This window comes from Homo sapiens, chromosome 18 (genome assembly GCF_000001405.40).
Source record: "Homo sapiens chromosome 18, GRCh38.p14 Primary Assembly".
In the NCBI taxonomy this organism is placed as follows: Eukaryota; Metazoa; Chordata; class Mammalia; order Primates; family Hominidae; genus Homo; species Homo sapiens.
The window spans coordinates 64,175,817-64,193,828 of record NC_000018.10 but is presented as its reverse complement, the minus strand read 5'-3'; the positions used below and the strand labels follow the sequence as shown (position 1 = coordinate 64,193,828).

Genomic DNA, 18,012 nt, shown 5'->3' with positions numbered 1-18,012 from the left:
TCAAGAGATCTTCCTGCTTCAGCCTCCCAAGTAGTTGGGACTGCAGGCACACACCACCATACCTGGCTCATTTTAAAATTTTTTGTGGAGACAGGGTCTTGCTATGTTGCCCAGGCTGGTTTCAAACTCCTGGCCTTAAGGGATCCTCCCACCTCAGCCTGCCAAGGTGTGGGGATTACTGGCATGAGTCACCGTGCCCAGCCCCACATTTGGAACTGTTCAACATGCTTTTCCTCACTGAAACTCTTTTCCTTGGCCTACATCATTATTTTCCTTGCCCTTTTCTCCTACTTTCTGACCGCTCCAGTTGGACTGAAGGAAATATGTGTGTGAAACAGTCTTGAAGACAAAGCAACCAGCCAGAGGGTGTGGCATGCAACAGACCTGCAATAACTGTTTTAGAAGCCGGGCACAGTGGCTCATGCCTGTAATCCCAGCACTTTGGGAGGTGAGGCAGGCAGATCATTTGACGTCAGGAGTTCAAGACCAGCCTGGCCGACATGGTGAAACCCCGTCTCTACTACAAATACAAAAATTAGCTGGGTGTGGTGGCAGGCACCTGTAATCCCAGCTACTCGGGAGGCTGAAGCATGACAATTGCTTGAACCCAGGAGGCAGAGGTTGCAGTGAGCCAAGGTCACATCACTGCACTCTAGCCTGGACAATAGAGCAAGACTCAGTCTCAAAATAATAATAGTAATAATAATAATCACTGTTTTAGAAAGAAAGAATGAATGAATGAACGCATTGAGGCACTCACCTATTTCAGAAGCTAGAAGGCACTTATATAAATTCAGCTTATAAAGGATCCAAGGGAGTTGAATCTGGATTTGTGAGAATTGGACAGATTTATTTGGCCTCATCTTTTATTTACTATTTTGTGAGATGTGCTAGTTATTGAGTTATTACTCCTGGGCTCTGAACCCTTCCTTCTGCACTTTGCTTTTTGATGCTTTGATTGGGAATTCTCCAACCCCATTTCTCCTTTGCCATTGGTTCCCAACAGGTGGCACAAAGACGGACTGAAAGGCTAGAGTAGGAAGAAGGGGCATTGCTTCTTCCAGTTTGCTCACTGTTCTTCCAGAATTACTGTAGCCACGGTGGTTTGTGCCAGAAGCACAGTTGGCCCATGTTCAGGTTTTTTTTCCCACATTCTCAGAAGCAGCCTCAGAGACACCAGGCATGGCCCATCAGCACCCTCCTCAGAGACCTGAGTTCAGCATTGTGGGAGCCCCTCCAAGCTCCTGAGACACCAGCACCATCTGGCAAACACTCCGTTTCAGATGTCTGGGTCTTACCTCTCAGGTAGGTTTTAAAACTCCCACTTCTTTCATTTTCCCCTCTGCCAGGCGGGAGGTAACACATTCTACAGTTATTCACTCTGTGTTAATTCCATATTCCCCTTTGCTTTTTCAGGTTCGCATTACTTATTTAACCAAGCCCTTAGGGTAAACTCTCAGCTAAAATAGTTGGTGTGTATTCTGCCCTCTATCACAACACAGTGTAAAGTGAGCTTGACTGCCTCTGTATCTTGCAGTGCAGTTCACTGCATTGTTGACATCATGTTAATGAAGCAAAGTGAGCAAACTCTCTGGGTCTCTGTGTTTGCTAGAAGATACACCAGAGGATAAAAGACAGACCTTTAAAGAATCCTGGGCCTGCTACATTAATGAGAATTTTAGGGGTTCAGTGATTGGGGGCATGTCCAAGGATAAGGGAAATTAATTACAGTATACCTATTACCGTTAAGAGTCACATTGCTTGGTAACTATCTTTAGATTTTGAAGACAAGATACATTACTTAGGCACAGAGCTCTGACTCATGTGTTGGAGGACTCAGAAGGCTGCAAATTTTGAGCAGGATCCAGACCAAGAAAGGATTCCTAATAGGTTCATACTGTGGCACCAGCATGGCCACATGTGGCCCTCCAGCATGAGTTACGGGATGTGGCAGAGTCAATGGTTCAAGAAGAATCTATGATAGACAAGGACACTAGGTGGGGTTTTTTGTCAAGACCCACAACAAAAGTTGTAATGTAGAACTCCAGGGTTCCAGGGCAAGCCCACGCCTTCTGCAGCACGGAACTATTCACTATGCACAAATGTCTCCATAGCATGTGCCACCAGGTTCTGACAGACTCAGATGGAAACATGGGGCACTACGAGACTGTACACTAGGACATGCTTGTCATGAGATAGGACCTGTTGTAGCCACAGAATCACAAGACAAAGCAGGTGTACCAGTATGTCACAGACAATAGAAATTTCTAAATTTGGGCCATGCAGGTTCACAGAGTACAAACATTAAACCAGTGTCCCAAATCAAATATTATCTACTTCTTTTAAACTGACATTTTTCTCTTAGTTTACTTCAATGGCCTCAGGTGGAAAAAAAAAAAAAAAAAACAACAGGAAGGTGGGGGAGGGGAGAGTGTCCTACAGCTATCTGATAGAAAGAGGAAAAGCACTCTGAACCTTATTCACAGAAGGGTGAGCTTGAAATACTGTATCAGACCAATAGTGGAGAGTTGTGAAACTACAAGTCCACTGGTAACTCTGAACCACACTGGCGAGGGGAAACCGGCCCTGTGGGCAGAGTCTGGAGGAGTACTCTTAGCATCAACTTTGGATAGAGGAAGAAATGGTCTGAGGTAAGGATATATACAAACTCCTGGCCAAAAGCAAACATTTTGGAAAGTGAGAGGCATCATCAAAGGAGGCATATTGTAAGAGCAAGGACAAGGATGCCTGTGGAAGAGGCCATTGAATGGACCCACGGGGTTTGGTGCAAAGTGTGTAGATCTTAAGGTCTCACATCAATGTCCAGAGAACACTTGCCACAAATGAAAACTGAACAATCAGAAAACACAAAGTTATCCATCCAGTGACATCAGCTGACCTCTATCCTCAGTCACTCCAGGACCCAGGGATGGAATCGTCACAGGGGCAGTGTGGAGGCTATGTATGGCTTGATGGAGATGAGCTGTCTGTCTCCGAAGCCTCTGCCACTGATGAATATATGACCTGTAATCAGCAGAGACTAATTTTGAGTCCTCAAGGAGACCAATCAGCCACTTGGTAGCAAATTGATTACAAGAGCCCCTTCCACCCTGGAGGGGGATGCTGATGCATTCTTGCTAGGGTTTTTTTTCCTCCCGCCCCCCCAAAGTCTGCAGTGTCTCTGCAAGGGCTCAAAAACTATGTGATTTCTTGATATCAGATACTGCAAATTATACCCTAAGACCAAGAGCCCACTTTATACCAAAGAAGTGATAATGGCCACATGAACATGTGATCCTTTAGTTTTCTTATGCACTGTAATATGGTTTGGCTTTGTCCCCACCCAAATCTCATCTTGAATTGTAGCTCCCATAATCCCCACGTGTTGTGGGAGGAACCTGGTGGGTGGTAACGGAATCATGGGTAGGTCCTTCCCGTGCTATTCTCATGATAGTGAATAAGTCTCACAAGATCCGATGGTTTTATAAAGGGCAATTCCCCTGCACAAGCTCTCTTGCCTGCCACCAGGTAAGATGTGCCTTTGCCCCTCCTTTGCCTCCTGCCATGATTGTGAGGCATCCCCAGCCATGTGGAACTGTGAGTCCATTAAACCTCTTTCCGTTATAAATTACCCAGTCTCGGGTATGTCCTTATAGCAGCGTGAGAATGGACTAATACACACTGTATTATGCCGAAGCTGCTGGTCTCTAAAAACATTGGAATGGCCTCTCACAGCTCAGCTCAAGAGTTAATACCCTGAGGGGTTGAGATGCTACAGTTTAAGACATAGTATAGATTAAATAAACCATATTATACTGACTCCATATCCCTCAAAAGTTAAAATATAGAGGATCAACGAACAAGGAGAAAAATTATGAGGGGGGCCCTCTCATCATCATTTTTATTGACTCACTTGGAGGGATTTGTGCTTCCTGTACCCACAATTAGATGCCAGTCTTTGTATTCCACAATCCACTGCTAGAAACAGGGAACAAGAAGCAGGATAAACCTAGGACCGTTTTCAAAGCAAAATGAATGTGTGTTCTTCTTTTATTAACCTTATTTAATGCTTTAGTACAAATGTGTGGTTGTTTGCATATAACCCATGAGCATATGTCTGCACATGCATATGTAAAATATAAGGAATATCCTAGATTTTAGGCTCTGTAGATAATGCCTGCAGCTCAGTAAACTGTCTCTTAGCCACATAAAAACTATAACTGTGTTTTTACAGGGCAGCCCCTTAGTAAATGTTTGCTGAAGTAAATTTCCCTTTTCCTAAACTGAACATTGGGCTTCCAGGTGAGGGAGAAAGAAGAAAGCAAAGAGAAGCTAGGCTTCTTAGAGCTCAGTAGTGGCTGCACATGACACATGGGCCCCTCTCTAGGGTTCTCGATTTTCCACTATTTTCCTCAGTGATTCTTTCCAACAAACAGTACACTCTTCTTAGTGGTGCTTCCTCAATTGAGCTGCCTATCTGTCACAAGTTAAGAAAAAAAAAAAAAGGTATCATTTGACTTACCATAAAATAGAATAGAAATCATTGAAATAATGTTCAACAATTCATGTGCAATTTAAGCAAAATAACCTCACCCTGGAAAAGAAACAATACCTAAGACATTTGTGCCTACATTATTTCACAATTTTTTAAAATTATTTCACCAAAAGAAAGAAGTCTGTATATAAAATGATACTTACTCCATAAGAATTGTGGGATTTCTATGCATCTAAGTCTCCAGCAGTCTCAGCCCATCATATTGTTTTGATATCTTAAATTCACAAAGAGATTATTAGTGCATTTACCCAAAATCATCCGGGCTACATAGATTTTTAAAAACACACACGACCTTGTGATCTCCTTCCTTACAGCATTTTTTCCTGTCTCTTAGATACTCCTTGCTGATTTTGACAACTTGATTTGGAAACAAAAGCACCACTAGTTATTGCACATCACAGTTAATTCCCAGAATTTTCAAATACACTGTCAGACCAGGTACAATATGGCAGAAAATATTGCCATTTGTTGTGCTAAACTTAGGATGTTGCAAAAATTGGATTCTTGCCCCCCTTTTAGGCCACCAAAGAAAGGGTGATGATAATCACTTAAAATATCTAAAAATGATAGGGAATCTGAAAGAGAAGCACAGATATAATCTGTTACCAGTGTGAAATAGGTCCTTCTTAGACAGACATCATGCTAAATAGAGTAGCTTGACAAGCAGAAAGTAGGACACACTGAACAATGAAATCACTCGGTCAGGAAATGTCAGGTGGTATGTGGGAAAGTTTATATGCTACAGTGAGCAGGTGATGGTGTGTCTAACACATTTAAAATATATATTTAAGATTGAGGAACACTTTGATCATACACTGAAATGTCAGCTGTGTACAGTTCTTCCTAACCTTTTAAAAATGTAGGTATAGAGGTCTTAAATTCTCCCTAGTGCAATAGAAATCAGAGTTGTAATTTTGCCTTGTCTGGAAATAATAAAAGTTTAATACACTAGGGGTTCCTTGCTCTAGCCTCTTTTATCTTTAATACAAAAAAAAAAGAACTTGGGGTATAAAGTTACAATTTTAGGGAAAGTAATCTAGCTTAGTTCTTTCATTAGGTATACATGATTCTAAACTATTAAATGGTGAAGAAATGGTCATTTCTTCTTAATATTCAGCTTTCCTTCTATTAAGGAAATAACATTGGCAGAATGAAACACACACACACACACACACGCACAAGAAAGAGAAGTAGAAAAAAAGGAAAGAAAAGAACGATGGAGCACTATTCAGCCATGTGAGTTTTTTGGTTTTTTTTTGGTTTTTTTGAAGCAAATGTAATCACATTTCCATGTTGGGCTGACATAAATGCATCTTAGCTTGCCAGAGAGAAAGTAGGTAGTTGTATTAAGATATTAAAAATACAATGTTAAAACTTTCTATTAACTCAATAGAAGAATATTAATGACCCTTTTTTAAATCACCAAAACTAGGTAAGGCTACCAAAAAATAATTTGATCTGTAAGTTATAAGTTCTCTTTACTCATATTCACATATCAAAGATGTTGTCCTTTCAAACCCTATTTTAATCTTTCACCCCATACCTCCCCTTCATATACTCAGCCTGCTTCTCCACTACAGTCTCCAATAGGTCCCATTCTTTTCTCTCTCTGCTCTCCATACATTAAACATGCATTGTCCGTAACACTACCTGTGAAAAAGGCCAGCAGACGGGCTGCCTACGACTAGTATCTCTTCTTTGGGAAAGGATGATTAGGATATATCACTCAATGAGTTAGGAAGGGGTGTGGGCAGCGAGGTGCTGTGGAAGTTTCAGGTAGTTTCGGTCCCAGGCAGCACTTTCTACCTAAAGGGGAAGAAATGCTGGTCTTACTGCAGGACAGCCTCTTCACAGGGTCTTCAGACTTCACGTACTCCATTGCTTTCTCCTTGTGTGCCCTTCTGCCTCTTTCTATTCCCTTTTCCTCCCCTCCCATGCAATTTTCCCTTTTTCCTTCCATGGCTCTGGAGGGACGAGGGAGCCGTCGGCCTTCCAGCCCTCTGCCATTCTCCCTGAGTTTCCACAGGGTTTAGAAGCTGCCTGAGGCCTCTGGGCACAATATTAGGTCAGAGGGGAATTCAGATGTTTACTTTTATCCCCCACTGATATCAAATATAAAGGAAAAGTCAAAGAGCTGCAGCAATAGACTGTGAGCTAAAACTGCAAATAAATAAATAAAATAAAAATAAAAAGTAAGTTTGCACCACAGGAGGAAAGATTTGAATTAGATATTAGAAAAAAATGCTCGAGTGAACCAACACCAAAGAAGATTGTGGGGGCTCCATTATAGAGGGATTTTAAAGAAGAAGGAGAAGTTTAGACTGCAATCAGTCTCAATTTAAGCACTTAAAAGCAGGGGACTAGTCTGGATGACTTCTGACATCTCCTCTCCTTAGTATTCTATTTTTAGGAGCCATCAATCAATGCCTCACAGAAAAACATGAAACACTCGTATCTAGAGTCCTCAAAGTTCACTGTGAAATTTGTCTAAGTTGTCAAAAATACATCACGGAGTGTGTAGAAACTAATACTTTAAACCAGCAAAATAGTAGCTTGTATTTACAGCAACAATGCTTCTATCAATATAAAATTCTTACACTCTAGCCCCTACATATACCAGCTATAATCATGGAAGCATAGATTGCCTTTAAAGTAAAAATAGTAAATATATTTCTGTATATTATATATACACATATGTATACTTTCCACATTCTCATATATATACACATTATAAAAATATATACATATATAGTATATATTATAAAATATATACATATATTATTTAAAAATATATACAAATATATACTTTCCATATATTATAAGATATATTTTCCATTAATTGTCAACCAGAGACCACAGGTGAGAATAAAAGGAGGTATGGTTGCAAAACATCCCTCATTCCATAATCTTCACAACAGTTCCTGAAGGTGCCGTTTTAGCAAAGCAGCTGTTACAGTCCTGCTGCTCCAGCCCTCTGAATATCCACCACTGGGTCCTATTACAGAGTCTTGGGGTGATTCCAAGAGTTTGTATTTTGAGTGAATATTAGAGTTTATGGAACACCAAATAGGAGTATTTCTCCCTCTCCTTGTAGATGAACGGGTGCCCAAACTATTCCCACTGTGTCAGCAACAGATCATTTGTTTCTTGCCTGAAAATTGTGAGTCACAGAACCGGCAGAGCACATGCTCCAATCTAGATGCATCAGGGAGTGAGGGCAGGGTCTGGGAAGATGGAGAGTAGAGAGCAAATGCTAAGAGAGTGCTTAATTTAGATTAAAAAAAAAAAACCTAGAAAAGGCAGAGAGGCTCAAAGTCCTCAAAAGTAGCTCCCAAGAGAGCTGAATAATATAAGACCCCAGGAGCAAGGGCTTGGCCTCTCAGTGTTAGAAAAGTAAACCCCACCCAGGAGAGAGGGGACAAACATCTCATCACCAGCGAAGTAGGGCTGATCACACAGAGGCAGAGCAAATGTAGCCAGCCCAGAAGAGAACAGGCACTCACTGTATTGAGGCACAAATACATTTATTTTTGTTTTTCTCTCCTCTTCATCCCAATCAAATGGCTGTGACAGAGAAGAGAATTCCACATTACCACCTTCCAACAGCTGTCAGCAAGATCCACAAATCTGACCTCTGCAGAGAAAGGACAAAAGCTTTGAGTTTAAAGTTTTTAAAGGAATGGATGTAAATATTCATGGCCAAGATACACTGTATTTATTTATTTATTTTTACCTTTTTTTTTTTGAGACGTAGTTCACTCTGTCGCCAGGTTGGAGTGCAGTGGCGCAATCTTGGCTCATTGCAACCTTTGCCTCCCAGGTTCAAGTGATTCTCATGCCTCAGCCTCTCAAGTAGCTGGGATTACAGGCGCCCACCACCATGCCTGGCTAATTTTTGTATTTTCAGTAGAGACGGGGTTTCGCCATGTTGGCCAGCCTGGTTTCGAACTCCCAACCTGAGGTGATCCGCCCACCTCAGCCTCCCAAAATGCTGGGATTACAGATGTGAGCCACTGTGCTGGGCCGATACACTGTTTTTATAATTAAGAGTCACTGAAAAGTCAAGAAACTACACAGGGATATCCGAGAAACACATCATCAAAGGCAAAAAGGGTTTCAACATAATGTGAGCAGATGTGATGACCTGAACTGAGCAACCCCCAACCCTCTCCCCACCCATGATGAACAAGAAAGAAGCGTCATTAAAGAATGACTGTTTCCACCACCATTTATTCCTGACAGCAAGAGAATGCCTGGGCCCCGGCCACCTAATTCAATAGATTAGCCTATTGTGCTTACTTTAACAGGTGGTATGGACTGAATGTGTGTGTCTTTCCAAAAGACCTGTGTTGAAGCTCTCCCCTCAATGTGATTTGGAAGTGGTGCCTTTGGAAAGGAATTCATTTCGGATGAGCTCATGAGGTTGGGGCCGCCACGATGGGATTAATGTTCATGTAAGGAGAAGAAAAAACTAGAGTTTGCTCTCTCTCCCTCATATGAGGACACACTGAGAATGTGGCTGGCCATCTAAAGCCACAAAGAGTGCCCTCACCAAAAACTGACCATGTTGGTGCCTTGATCTCTGACTTCTCAGCCTCTAAGACTTGTGAGAAATAAATTTCTGTGGGTTAAGCCACCCAGCCTATGGCTATTTTGTTAAAACAGCCTGAACTCACTAAGACAACAGGTCAACAGTTATTCTATTTTTGCAAAGCACATGCACTATAAATCAACAATTTGTTCCTCCCATTAACCCAGCCATTGAACTCCTACCTGAGAACTCAAGGTTCCTGCTAAATAAGATAAATGGAGTCTAGTGCTGCAAGCGTACTTTTTCTGCTTCCCTTCCCTCAGTACGAGCTAAAGTTTTTGTTAGTAGACTTCCTCCATGAGCTTCTGTCAATTGTTTTTCCTTTTTTTCTCCTCATGATTAGGCAAGTAACTCCTCCTTAGAATCACAAAACACTACAGATTTACAGCTTCCTCTATGATGAAGGTCACAAGGATCTCTGGGTCTGAGACCTATTCAGTTGAACTAAACTTTATTTCTGCACAGGCTTCGATCCTTGGCCACTGCAAGATCCTTTTCTACAGGTTCTTTAGACGTTGTTCTCAGTTTGGTTTATGTTTATAGGAACTTGCCTTGTCTTTGTTTATACATTTAACACTTTTACTTTCCTCAAACTTCAAGTCTTCCAGAGTCTCCTTACCTCAATAAGTTACCTTCCCCATTGTTTCCTGTAGATTCCAACGCTTGCTTTTTTGTTTTCTTTGGAGCTGAAATTTTGAGTGAATTATACTTGACATTTAACATATGCACACACTGAATATTCAGATTTCAAAGAATGCCTAGGAACAGACTGCTCTGCCGTCTATTGTTTAGACAGGCACATATCCCCATTATCTTCATTTCTCATTGTCAGCTGACTTGTCACTGAGTCAGGGAATGAGTGCTTCTTTGCTGGGGCAAAGGGAGGCTCACCAACCCATTTATCTATTCAAATCAGCGCTCAATCACAACATGGTCTTTGTTTTCTAGGAAACTATAAGCTAAATTCAGACTCTCTAAAGGCTGGAAGTCATGAGATTGGGCTGCTTCACATTATTTGACAAAGAAAGTCAGGTGAGGGATGAACTGATAAATCCATGGACCCTTTGAGATGAGCTTGGCAGGATGTAGAGTGCGTTCCTAAGGGAAACTGAAGGTGCACTAAGCGAGAAGGGCAGGAGGATGGTAAGCAGAGAGGAAAGCACAACCACTCCCAGGGAAAGGAGAAACTAAAGATATATTCCTTCCTCACGAAACCAACAGGCATTTAAGGAAGCAGATCAAGAACTCAAATTAAATGGATGACTATTGACCAATACAGCCTTAATAGTCCTTCACCTTGAATAAATTTTAGACAGGTTTCTTCCTGACTATAGGACCCTGACCCTTCTTTTCTTATATAATTTACTTTAGGAAACGTATAATTGCAAATTCTTTCTCTGTCTCTGAAATCTTCTCCCAGTCTCTTGTCAGAATGTCTTTCTCAAAGACCTGGGAAACAGCTTTTTGAAATGTAAACATCAAGAAAGATAGCTTCTCTATCTCTACTACTAGCTACTCTAGTTTTAGTTCAATGGCATGGCATGAAATCAATCAGAAAGAGAGAAAAAGCAGAAGAAGGAAAAGAGAGGGAAAAGCAGGTTCCATGAGGACTGGATCTTTGTCTTATGACCAATGACAATGTGATCATTGACAAAGGCTGGAAAGATACTTGGTACACACTAGGTACACCCAAATAATGAAAGAAATAAAGTGAAGAAGAAAGGAAAAGAAAGAAAGCAGCAGAGAGGAGGAGGGAGGAAGAGTGAAAGGGAGAGAGAAGGAGGGAGAGGCAGAGGGAGGGAGGGAGGAGGGAGGGATAGAGGTTACTGAGAAAATAAAGGAAGAACAAAAAGAATCAGAGACTCTGTTTAGATACCAGAGTTTCCCAAAGCTGGGGATCACACTCTGTATTTCTTGAAAGGCTTTTGAACAGGTTATGACATTTACCCTATAAGCATGCTTCAGGTTTTCTAGCATCTCTACCACTTTATCCCAAGAGGTGGGAATGAAAAACCATGTTTACACTGAATTTGTATTGCAAACACCATTGCCTTTGCTTCCTCTTAGCACATTAAATTATCTTTAAAGCTTAACAATTGTTACTTCTTCATGCTAAAGATAGAGTGCTGGTCTTCTTGTTGAATTGCTTTTGACAGTTCAGCCCAGGCTAAATCCAAGTAGCATAAACAAGGATGTGCATGGAAATACTTATAAAGTCAAGAAAATGCGAGATAAAATTTCCTGTGCAAGTACTGAGCATCTGAATAAACGTGAGTCTTGACTATCCTTCCGAGATGTATGCAAGGATCATTTTAGATGTTGCTACTTGACTGGCCACCAAAGCGGTGATTCATAGTGTGATACGAGTCCATGAGCCTTAAGGCACCTTTCTCTTAGTGCAGTGGAGAAAAGATAGTTCTAGAATTCAGGATGATTTCAAAGGCCTGAGAGCAAGTTTGCATGATATCCATAAAGCAGATCGGAAGGTTCCCCAGGGAGTATCAGTTGGTACGACTTTTCAGACTCGGTGCACAACTGAATTCTGCACAGAGGCATGTTGCTGTGAGCACAGAATCTGATGGATGTTGATGTGAATTGCAAAGTGTCAGCTCACCCACCAAAAGACCTAGTTACCACCCCACTTCTTCAGCACAGTTGTAGCTTATCCAAAAATCTTACAAAGTCATCCAAGCATGTTTACCCACCAAAATAGGCCTGACAGCAAAGTCAAAGGTAAAAATGATGGGAAGGATGTGGATTTCAACACACTGAGAGAATATAATTTTTTTAAAAATGACTTTTGCACAGGAGTAGACATACTTTTTAGGTGGCACTCAACTATGGAAGTAGTACTTAACTTGGAAGTAGTTTCCCTTAGGCAGACACAATGTGATCTACGTAATTCTACCTATTCTTTTTTCAGGAAACAGAGCGACCTCAGGGCAAGGGACCACGAGAAATGAAGACATTCCCTAGGTATCTGAGAGCTGGCAATCAAAAGCTGATGGAGGATGCTTCAGTATTTCAACTATATGCAAGAACTGATCAAGACGCCATAAAGTGCAACTTGGAGCAACTGCAGACCATGAAATCGAATATTTTCTACAAATAACAATAAAGAAATGAAATATAGCATGCGGAAGGGTGTAGGAACATAAAACTGCATGGACAAAGAAGAGAATCCGTGGATCACGCAGAAACAATATAAGAGACAAAAGTGGAACTTCTGCAGTCCCAGCTACTCAGAAGGCTGACGCAGGAGGATCGCTTGAGCCCAGGAGTTTGAGCCTGCAGCGAGCTATGTTCATACCACTGCACCCCAGCCTGAGTGACAGAGTAAAACCCTGTCTCTAAAAAAGAAAAAAAAAAGTAGAACCCATAGGAAGCAGGTCAAAGGAATAAAGGAATTCCCATGTTATTATTTGTTGTTGTTGTTAAAAACATATTGAGTGAATGAAAGCAGACACACATAACCATATACTGATTGATTCTATTTATATGAAGTTCATAAATCAACAAAGCAAATCTATAGTTATAGAACTGAGAAAGGGTTTAGGTATGGGAAGTGGGAGGAAGTGGCAGGAAAAGGGCATAAGACAACTTATATGGTGATAAATACTCTCCCGGTCTTCACTGGGTGTGGTTACTCAGGTGCATATATGCATGTAAAAGCCACAGAGCTGTACACTTAAGATCTATGCCTTTATAAAGAAATGGGGATACCTGATTTTGGTGGATGCTATGACTACTATCAGCCTTTGGTTAGCCTCAGTCAAATGTCCTTATAGAATAATGTCTGCTGAGACATGTTCCTAACCAGTGACGCATACATTTCACTCCTGCTTCCTGGGAATTAAACAAAATGAAGTCATCCTTGAACATTTACTCTTATCAGCCCCATTTGGTACTTAACACATTGTGAGTCTCCATAAATATTAAACAGGCACTCCCAGCTATAGCACTAAGTTAGATTCAAAAGCACATCAGGGAATGAAGAGTGTTCACTAGGCACTGGTATTAGAATACCACTGGTATGTTAAACAAAGCTTATATTTAAGATATGTTTTGCAAAGTACTTTGGAAAATACAGAGTCAGTTTTCTGCTCAGCTGTTTAAACACATCAAACTACACACAAACACACAGGAAGAGCCACCATTTCTAAAGCTTATTAGTACACGATCATCTCTCAATAACTCTGGTCTCTGGGTACTGTTCATAAATCTCAGGGGATAGAAAGAAAGAATTCCAGCTTTCCAGTTTCATAGGCTTTAAGTCTCCATCTGTTGCTTGATTAATGGAGTAGGTTTGGCACCACTCTGCCCTGCAGTCAATGGTAAAGCACACTAATGATGACCAATAGGTAGAGGAGGAAAATTCAGAAGAGGAGAGTTCATGATACTTAGGTGAAGAGCTGAACATCATCCATCTCTTTTAACTCAAAGTAAGCTTGCAGAGAGAAAAAAGATTTTGATTTCTCTCTTTGTTCACAGCTGAGAACTCAGAAAATTTCTGGCTTTGATCCTTTATCTCATACATTTGAGGAAAGAAAAATGAGACTTTGGAACGCATATACCATGTAGGGATGTGGGGCATGTTTATACATGTGTGTATGCAAGCAGGCATGTGTGTGGGTCTAGGGGAGCTGGGGAAATACTCCCCTGTGTGTGTGGCTGGCTCTGAGCTATCCAGGGACTTTCACTGCCACTCTCCTTCCCTGCTTCATTCATTCTTAGCTGCTTGCTTTTGAGCTAACATCCTCAGTGACTACAATAAAAATAACCCAAAGTGACAGCTCGAGACCAGCAAGAAAGCTGGTCTGTGCGCATAAAAACAATTTATATTTCAGGCAAACTTGTCCCAGGGTACTTTTTGTCAGTTTTCTTTGTTCAAATCCCTGTTATTTTTGCTGCAACCACTCATGTCGTAACCATATTTTAAAAATGAAATCTAAGATGAAATGGGTTTGATGGGGGTGGGAAGAAGGAAAAGGATGTCAGAAGTAAAAGGAGCCTGACAAATGAGGCTTGAATTTTTTTTCCAGTCTGTCAGAGCTTGCCCCTGCTGCTGATGGGGAGTATAATGTGTTGGCTGGTGGCTCTGTCTATTTTACCGACGTAAGTCTCTTAGATTGAATATCCGATGACCAAGACATGATGAGCAAGCTGAGTCTACACTGGGTTGTAGCTTTTCTTGCTGTGGCTGTAGCCAGGAAAATTTTATCTCCATGATATAGAGAACCTGCTACCCTTTTTCTAGGGTTGTTCCAAGAAAGATGGCCAGTAAGCAGCAATCCTACTGATATATTTAGAATTAGTGCACCCTTAAGGAGACGCACCTTTATTAAGCTTGGGGCAAGACCATTTCCAGGGCCGCCACATCCTAATTCACATGTAGTGTAACTGCCCAGTGGGTTCACCTTGCCTGCTGCCTAGGCAGAGGTAATTTCTCAAGATAGGGGAATTGCAATAGAGAAAGAATAATTCACACAGAGCTGACTGTGTGGGAGACCAAAGTTTTATTATTACTCGAATTATTTGAGTAATTGTTTTATTATTACTTGAATTATTTGAGTGATTATTTTATTATTACTCGAATTATTTGAGTGATTATTTTATTATTGCTTATTTAATTAATAATTATTTGATTATTATTCAAATTATTTGAGTAATTATTTGATTACTCGAATTATTTGAGTAATTATTTTATTATTACTCGAATTATTTGAGTAATTATTTTATTATTACTCGAATTATTTGAGTAATTATTTTATTATTACTTATTTAATTAATAATTATTTGATTATTCAAATTATTTGAGTAATTATTTTATTATTACTTGAATTATTACCCAAGCATTTGGGGATCAGAGCTTTTAAGGACAACTTGGTGTGTAGGGGGAAGCCAGTGAGCCTGGTATGCTGATTGGTCAGGTCAGAGATGAAATCATAGAGAGCTGAAGCGGTCTTCTTGTGCTGAGTCAGTTCCTGGGTGGGAGCTACAAGATCTGATGAGCCAGTTTATCAGTCTGGGCAGTGCCAGCTGATCCATCAAGTGCAGTGTCTGCAAAACATCTCAAGCACTGATCTTAGGAGCAGTTTCAGGAGGGTCAGAATCTTGTAGCCTCCAGCTACATGACTCCTAAACCATAATTTCTAATGTTGTGGATAATTTGTTAATCTTACAAAGGCACTCTAGTCTCAAGGCAAGGCTTGTTTTGGCAAAGGGCTATCTTTTTTTTAAACTATAAACTGAGTTCCTCCCAAAGTTAATTCACCCTATGCCAAGGAATGAACAAGAACAGTTTGGAGGTTATAAGCAAGATGGCCGGGTGCAGTGGCTCACACCTGTAATCCCAACACTTTGGGAGGCCAAGGCGGGTGGATCACCTGAGGTCAGGAGTTCAAGACCAGCCTGGCCAACATGGTGAAACCCCCCTCTACTAATAATACACAAATTAGCTGGGCGTGGTGTCACGTGCCTGTAATCCCAGCTACTCAGTAGGCTGAGGCAAGAGAATCGCTGGAACCTGGGAGGCGGAGGTTGCAGTGAGCCGAGATTGAGCCACTGCACTCCAGCCCGGGCGACAGAGCGAGACTCTGTCTAAAAAGAATAAATAAATAAAATAAAACAGAAGCAAGATGGAGTTGGTTAGATCAGATCTCTTTGACTGTCTCAGTTATAATTTGCAATGGTGGTTTCAGTAGCTTGATGACAAAGAAGATGAAGAAGGGAAATTATGTTAGTTTAGGTGCCAACTGGAGACGTGAAGCCAACCCAATGGACACTGGTGTATTTATCTTTAGAAAATGAAGGGCAACAATGCACTAAGGGGATGAAATCCCAGCAAGCCATCCTGCTTCCAGTGAAATAAGTGTTTGTTTTTCCCCTTTGCCCTGGAGCAAAATGTGTATGTGTTCAGTTTGAACGGGCTCTTTAACATGCACCTGTTTCTCCATGACAAATGTTAAGGACAGTATGTGAAAAGGGAATGGGAAGAGAAAGCAGTGGCATCCAGATATATTTAAACCTACATAAAATCAGTTTTCTTATCAGTAGAAGAGGATTCTTCAAATTATCTATAATTGGGAAAGTTATTCCTTGCAGATCTTTTTTTTATTGGTACAAATATGCTATGGATTAAAAAATATTTCCCAAGATCTAACTCCATACACAAAAAAAGATAAATTATGAAGTTATTAACTTATATTAGCTTGATCAGCATTTTCCTTTTCCCGCAAAATGGAATTTTAAAAAAATCTTCATAGCTTAGGTTGTGTGTGGGGGCTCACGCCTGTAATCCCAGCACTTTGGGAGGCTGAGGTGGGCAGATCACTTGAGGTCAGGATTTCCAGACCAGCCTGGGCAACATGGTGAAACCCTGTCTCTACTAAAAATACAAAACTTAGCCTGGCATGGTGGTGGGCACCTGTAATCCCAGATAGGAGGCTGAGGCAGGAGAATCCCTGGAGCCCCAGAGGCAGAGGTTGTAGTGAGCTGAGATTGAGCCACACTGCACTCCAGCCTGGGTGACAGAGTGAAATTCCATCTCAAAAAATAAAATAAAATAATAAATAAATATATAAATAAAACTTAATGGCTTCAAATACTTTTACCTTTAAAAGTAATCCCCTAACTTACTTAGGCAAGCTCTGTGCTAAGAGCTGTGTAAAGAAAACTTGATAGATCCACCTCTTTAGGAACATGTAATTTTACAAAGACACATTGAGTCCGATATAAAAACGATAAAAATAAAAGCACAAACTTTAAAGTTATAGGTGTATATGATCATTTAGTGAACAGGCAATAGGCCTACACAACTAAACAGAAGGCATCAACATATTGTACAATAGGCCAGGCGCGGTAGCTCATGCCTGTAATCCCAGCACTTTGGGAGGCCGAGACTGGTGGATCACGAGGTCAGGAGATCGAGACCATCCTGGCTAACACAGTGAAACCCCGTCTCTACTAAAAATACAAAAAATTAGCCGGGCTTGGTGGTGGGTGCCTGTAATCCCAGCTACTCCAGAGGCTGAGGCAGGAGAATGGCATGATCCCAGCAGGTGGAGCTTGCAGTGAGCCGAGATCACACCACTGCACTCCAGCCTGGGCAACAGAGCGAGATTCCATCTCAAAAAAAAAAAAAAAAAATTGTACAATAATAAAATAACTGATATCCAAAATGTCAATTTTGACTCTTCAAGGAAATATTGAATTATTATGTTCAGGATGTTTCATTTAAGAAAGTAGAGACATGTATCATTTACAATAGAAAAATTTCATTACTGCAGAAAATGCTTCACCTAAGACTTTAATTTTTCAATGTTATAACACACACGTAAAAAACTGATTATATGGGGGGAAAATTTACATATATATTTAATTGCTTCAGTTTGGCGGGCCAGTGAGATGATTATAGCCATTAGGTATATCTCAAATCCATTGCTGACACCCTGTAAGCCTATCAAGTATACGATCACCTGATTCTAATGCTTTGATGACTCCCTGCAGAGGAGGAAAACTACACAGATATAATAGTTAAGTTTTGATTTGCAAGTCTGAGAACTAAACAGATGTCATTATCAACTGCTTTGAGTAAGAGCAGTTGATAAGATTAATAGAGGCAAACAGAATATATTTAATAGGACACAGTCAGTATTTGGAAATAGGGGATGAGCGGGAGAGGAGAGGGGTCTCCCAGGCTCCTCTCTGGAGCAATCACGTGCATTTACTGGTAAGTAGCACCTTAAGGGAGAGCAGATTCCTGGCCAGGGCATGCTGGGGCACACAGTGGTGGGAGGACATATGTTTCTTTTTAGTTTTACCCAGTTTGTAATGTTATAGGAGTTATTAAGAAATTATTTTAGGC

At 40.8% G+C, this 18,012-nt stretch overlaps 2 long non-coding RNA genes across 2 annotated transcripts in view; one reads left to right on the top strand and one right to left on the bottom strand.

Moving 5' to 3' along the window:
- The window catches only part of LINC01924 (long intergenic non-protein coding RNA 1924), a 319,511-nt gene that overhangs the window by 229,773 nt on the left and 71,726 nt on the right, over positions 1-18,012 (bottom strand). The gene's annotated exons all lie outside the window — the stretch shown is intronic.
- LOC124904357 (uncharacterized) lies at positions 1,007-12,564 on the top strand. Its single transcript, XR_007066467.1, has 2 exons — positions 1,007-1,305; positions 12,070-12,564. It is a non-coding gene; the product is annotated as an uncharacterized LOC124904357 (long non-coding RNA).